Raw genomic sequence first — 6373 nt, forward strand, 5'->3', positions numbered from 1 at the left:
TTTTTTTTTTTGGATTTTTGGTAGAGACTGGATTCATGGTGAATAATTCTTTTAATGCACTGTTGAATTTGGTTTACTAGTATTTCATTGAGGATTTTTGCATCTATGTTAACCAGGGATATTGACCTATAGTTTTCTTATTTTGTAGTGTTCTTATCTGGCATTGATATCAGGATAATGCTGGCCTCTTAGAATGAGTTTCAATGTGTTCCCTTTTCTTCAATTTTTTTGGAAGAGTTTGAGAAGGATTGTTATTAATTCTTTAAATGTTTGTTGAAATTGACCAGTAAAACCATTTGGTCCTGGGATTTTCTTTGTTGGGAGATTTTTCATTACTGGTTTAATCTCTACTTATTTTTTCTGTTTTTTTTTTTTTTTTTAATTATACTTTAAGTTCTGGGGTAGCCGTGCAGAAAGTGCAGGTTTATCACTTAGGTATACATGTGCCATGGTGGTTTGCTGCACCCATCAACCCATCATTTACATTAGGTACTTCTCCTAATACTATCTCTCCCCTTGCCCCCATCCCCCAACAGGCCTCAGTGTGTGATATTCCCTGCCCTGTGTCCAAGTGTTCTGATTGTTCAACTCCCACTTATGAGTGAGAACATGCGGAGTTTGGTTTTCCGTTCCTGTAGTTTTCAGATGTGCTCTGGCCTCCAAGGACCATGAAGCCAGGCGGTGGTGGGGGGGTGTCCTCTGTATAAAAAGTGCTGTCCCAGGAACTTCCTGACGGACACTTTGGGGCATGTGAGCGATTCCTGGGGAGGGCACCTCGGCCTTCCTAAGGCTACCCCTGCAGCCAGTGCTGGCCATTCTCACCAGCAACCAACCAAAAAACATCAGAGTCCCTGTAAACCTGGTTGTGATGATAAAAACCAAATGTTTTCTAATCTAAGACTTGTATGCAGAACACAGAAAACTGCAGTTAAGGAACACCCTACAAAATTGACCAACAGTATTTTCCAAAAACATTTTTCATCACTTCAAATAATGTACAAAATCTACAAAAATCATATTTACCAGGACACATCTGTTAAATAAAAGCATTGTTTCGTGTTGGTATACATATACACAAGACTATGTATAACAGACTGTTTCCCCTCCCTGCAACCACAGAACCATCACACACAGGCACAGATACACGTCGGCTATGCCGCTTTCCACGAATGCATGGAACCCAGGACGCGAACCCACAGCTCGAGGTCTTATACCTTCACTACTGAGCTGCCGCCACTGCAGCAGCAACACCTCTGCGGAGGTGTCGCTGAAGTCACTGGTGTCCCTGCCCAAGGTGTCCTGGTCCTGGTCAACTCTACTGATTGACCCTTCGTGGATACCTCAGGTCTAAAATCCTTTCCTCCGAGCCAGAGCTCTTCCTGTTGTGCAAACTCAGCCCCGTCTGTACCTTCCTGCTTGGCCGGTGATCGCAGTCCTTCTTCGCCAGCAAGTGTGGGCTTCCAAAGACAGGGCTGGGCCTGGCCTGGGACTCCCTGAAGGCCGAGAAGGACAGGCCCTGCAGAGGCAGCCCCAGGTAGGGGCTGAAGAGGCCGGTCTCCCTGCCCCCCCAGGAGACACCCTTTCCAAAGTGGAAGAGCTGGGTGGACAGCAGCGGGGAGAAGCCCGCAAGGGGCAGGCTGGGCAGGCCCCGGGCGGGGCCCTCGGACCCCTTGTCTCTCTCTCCCAATGCCGCCCCCTCCACGCCGCATCTCTACCTTTGGAGCGCAGTGCCCATGGGCTGGGCAGCCGACTGTGGTGGGCAAAGTCACTCCAGGGCGGGGCGCGGTTGGCCTGGGCTCCAGCATCCCTCTCAGCTCCCGGGCTGGGGGTCAGGAAGCTCCGGTTCCTGCAGTCCACGTGAAAGGTCCCCCTGGCTCCTCCTGCCTCGGTGCCCGCTGTGGCACAGCTGGGCCGCTGACCAAAAGCACTTTTGGCAGCAGGCTCAGCCCCTCGTGGGCTCTGGTCTTTGTAAACGTAAACATTTCTCTTGCTCACTGAGAGACCTTGGCGGAGACACTGCCGCTGGTCCTCCTGGGTGGCGCATGATCCCCTCCGCCGGATCAGTGGGGAGCCCCTTCCCACCCTGGCTGAGCAGGCACGCTGCGCCCTGTGCTCCTGCGCTCCCTGCGCCTCGATGCCCTTTAGCCAAATGTGGGACCCCCCGGCCCTCTGGCTCCGTGTGCACATGCCAGGCAGTGGGGCCGGCTCCTTCCTGCAAGGTACCTCTGGCCTGGCTGGGCCCCCTGTCCCGAGAGCGGTGGGGCCCTCTGCCTGAACTTCTGAACTGCTCACCGACTCCTTGGCCTTTTCCACCAAAAACTTCCTAATCTCCAGTTCGATGCTATCGTCGCTGTCCACTGAACTGCTGTTGTCAGACAAGGAGCCAGGGCTGGGAGCTGGGCCCTGGGACTCTCTGGGGAATAGATTCTCTTCGGAGGCGGAGGCAGAAGCGGGTCTCCTCACCAGGAAGGCCGGGGCTTCGTCCTCTCGGCCCTGCTGCCAAAGACACTGGGGGGTTTCTTCCTGGAGCCCTCGCAGCTGTCTCTCTTGGACTTAGGCAGCTCTTCAGCACCTGCAGGTGCCTGTTTTTCCACTCTCTCAGGAGCCTGCCCAGCTGCTCCTGGAAGTGCGTCTGGGAGGTGCTGAACCTGACCTTCTTCCTGCACACAGCCCTGGGCTCCCTGGACCTCTTCTTGAGCTTTCACTTGGACCTTAACAAGTCCTTGATGGCTGTGTCCAGGTCCTTGTCACTGTCCAGGGAACTGCTTTTGTCTTCGGAGCTCTTCTTCTTGTCTAGGTGCCTTGCCTCGTCTGTCTTACCCTGGCCCTGTGACGTGCGAGTGTCACCGGGCACCCTAGCGGCGCCCTCTCCTCCCGGGGCCTCGCTGGCTGTGCCCTGGATGGAAAGGTCCCGCCCCTCATGGCCCGGCCCGGCTCTCCCCTGGCTGCGGTCGGCATCCTGGCCACCCTCTTTCCCCACCACCCGCATGTTCTTGGGAGTGGATGGCCTCACTTGGCAGCCGCCTCTATGCTTCCTTTTGCAGCCAGGAGTGGGTCCAGTGTTTTAGAGAGAGGGGCCTTGGGGCTGCCGGTCTGGCTGCTGAGGCCAGGTGGTGAAAGTGGGCCCTGGGCAGCCTGAGGGCAGCTCTCACCTCTGGCCAGCAAACTTCTAGACTGCACCTTGAGGGCCAAAAACGTCCAGATTTCCTGCTCAATGCTGTCGTCGCTGTCCACGGAGCTACTGTCACCATCAGAGCGGGAAGGCACGTTGGGGGAGTAGAAGAGTGGGCTTGCGGACAGGGACCCATCGCTGCCCTCCATAGGGCCGGCAGGATCGTCTTGAAAATGTCCAGGACTGCTTCTACACACATCAGCTCAGCGGAGGTGTCTGCCTGGCAAGAGGACCATTCCACAAACTTGCTCCTGGAAGCCGGGCTCGTTGGAGGTGGAGCTTTGGTTTCCTTTGGGATCTTGGGGGAATGGTCAGCGTCCAGATCCCCTGGACCAGGGTCCGTGGTCTTGGTGGGCACTGGCTTCTTCTTGCTGGGTGTTTTCCTGTGGGTCTCTGGCAAGGCACTTTTTGTGGCGCTGCTTGTGCTGTGTGCGGGAGGGGCAGGTGCTCTTTCCTCTTGGAGCTGGACCCTCTGGGGCGGGTCCCCGTCGGCCTCCTTGCGTGTTTTCTGCACCTGGTACAGCTGGATGGCCTCCTCAATGCCGTCGTCGCTGCTGGAGTCGGACGCCTCGGGCGCCTGTACGGCGCTCGTGACTCGCTTTCCCCTCCTTGCGGTGCTGGCGTTCCTTTTAATCCCACTTTTATTCTGTACTGCTTCTGAAGGGCGGTGGGGGTTGCTGGCTTTGTGCTGCCCTCCTTCTCCTGCGTGGTCGTGACCTTGGACCTGAGGCTTCTGGGCTGCACGTTTGTCTTTGCTAACCGGGGGAGGTCTGCAGAAGGCGAACTCCTTCTGGACGCCCATCAGGCCCTGCCGGTGCACCACCTTTGTAGCCGGCTCTTGGTGGGATTTCGAGAGTGACTTCGCCGAATTTTCATGTGTGTCTGGTTTCTTCTCCACTGACCCATCACATTTTTGGTTCTCATGCTGTCTTTTCTCATTCAGAAACTGTTCGATTTCTGCCCTGATGCTCTGCTCAAAGGAGTCTGCTCTGCTCATGCTGACTGGGGAGGCAGAGCCCTGGTCCTTGCTGGATCCCACCTGGCTGCCAGGGCCACACCACCTGAGCCAGGTACAAGTTTTGGGGAACACAGGGCAGTTGGGCACTGCTGTGAGCCAGTTCCGGCTTACATCTACTGCCTCCGCCTGCAGCCCTGGAAGGCTGTGCATGGCTGGGCCCCGCTGGCCCCGGGCTGTGCGGCTCCACTCTTTACCTTCAGGTACTCCTGGATGGCCTCCTCAATGTCCCGGTCCACGGAATCGTCACTGTCTGAATCTAGCACCAATGGGCCAAAGTCTGCAGTTTCCTCCTCCCCCACGGGGTCAAAGTCAGCAACAAGACCACAGGCAGCCAACGCAGGCAGCTCCTTGTGCATGGTGGGCTTGGCAGCAGGCCTGGCGTCGTGGCATCCCTCTGCCCCCTCTGCGCAGTGCGCTCATCGCTGGTGCCCCTAGCAGCCCTGTCGCTCTGCAGCGTGCTGATGAGCATCTGCACCCGGGTGCTCACCGACATGCTCTCCACGCCCTTGTCAGCCTCCGAGAAGCACCCGGGGAACCTAAAGCTCCCTGGTGGGACAGAGGCCACCCATTTGCGCTGGAGAGCAACCACTGGAGGAGCATTCATGAGAAACATTCTGGCAGATGGGGAGCGACGCGCAGAGGGGCGACACTTTATTTCTCTGCAGGCTTCACATCCTCCAAAGATTGGCAAGCAGTACCCGTGAAATAACTTTAAACCTGCAAATGCTTCTTTGCAGGTTTAAAAGGATGACTATAAACTATGACGTCATGCCTAGATTCATTCTTGACCCAACCAACAAGCTCTTGACATTCTCTGAGTCCAGGTTGACTGTGATGAAAGGCAGCTAGTGTTCCCAAATGGCCCAGGGATCAGGTCTTCATCGCTCCACTCAGAGGGAAGCATCCTCTCTCTGCTTTTTAAATAGACTTTTGACTGGGGCTCCAGCAGCGCGGGGCGCGCAGACCTGGAGTTGCATGGAGGCCAGAGCCACGACACCCGCCTGGGGAACGGAGCAGCCCCAGGCGCTGATCCCCGTCCACCTGCCCCACGGAGCCCTCGCCGCCCGCTTGCCACTGCCTGCATGGCCCTCCTGTCCCCGGCCCCCCAGCCCTCCTTTCCCCAGCTCCCCCACCCTCCTGTCCCCGGCACCCCAGCTTCCCAGCCCCCGAAACCGCCCCCCCACCTCGACCCGGCCCATGCCGCAAGTCGCCCGCTGCGCGGACCCGGCCTCCGCCCGCCTCCTGCGTCCTGGGGGAGGCGGCTGCCGGGGGTGGTGGGGGAGGGAGAGGGGGAAGAGGCCGCCCTCCGCCCGGGTGCGGGGAGGGGGCGCAGGGGTGTCCGGCCAGGCCCCCCGCCTCCCCGCCTCCCCGCAGCAGCTGCCCCGCTCCCGGGCCGCCTAATACTTTTACATTTTAACTTTTATACTACAGTGAAAAGTGATTTACACACCACCACTGCAATATTACAGTGTTATGAATGTGACTATATACTTACCTTTCCCTGTGAACTTTTTTTTTTGAGACAGAGTCTCGCTCTGTCGCCCAGGCTGGAGGGCAGTGTCCATGATCTCGGCTCGCTGCAAGCTCTGCCTCCCGGGTTCAAGTCATTCTCCTGCCTCGGCCTCCCGAGTAGCTGGGACTACAGGCACCCGCCACCACGCCTGGCTAATTTTTTGTATTTTTAGTAGAGACGGGGTTTCACCGTGTTAGCCAGCATGATCCCCCTCTTCTGACCTTGTGATCCACCCGCCTTGGCCTCCCAAAGTGCTGGGATTACAGGCGTGAGCCACTGCGCCCGGCCTACCTGTGAACTTAATATCTTAATGTTTTAATGTTGCTAATCAGAATCCTTTTATTTCAACTTGAAAAACTGCCTTATAAGGCAGGTGCAGTGGTGATGAACTCCCTTAGAATTTTTTTGGTGGGAGTCTGGGAAAGACCTTATCATCTCTTTTTCATTTCTGAAGGACAGCTTTACAAGTTGTGGTCTTCCTGATTGGCAGTTTTTTTCTTCCAATACATTGAATATAGCATCCTATTCTCTCCTGGCTTATAAGGTTGCTGCTGAGAAATCCACTGATAGCCTTATTGAAGTTTCCTTGTATGTGATGAATTCCTTTCTTCTTGCTGCTTTTGAAAGTCTCTGTCTTTGACTTTTGATATTTTAATTATAATACATCTTG

The 6373-nt window shown here is 55.8% G+C and overlaps 1 pseudogene; it reads right to left on the reverse strand.

Annotated features, from left to right (window-relative positions):
• Nucleotides 1-1013: 1013 nt before the first annotated feature.
• On the reverse strand, nucleotides 1014-4998 carry PPP1R26P2 (protein phosphatase 1 regulatory subunit 26 pseudogene 2; annotated as a pseudogene).

Source organism: Homo sapiens, chromosome 22 (assembly GCF_000001405.40).
Source record: "Homo sapiens chromosome 22, GRCh38.p14 Primary Assembly".
Lineage (NCBI taxonomy): Eukaryota > Metazoa > Chordata > Mammalia > Primates > Hominidae > Homo > Homo sapiens.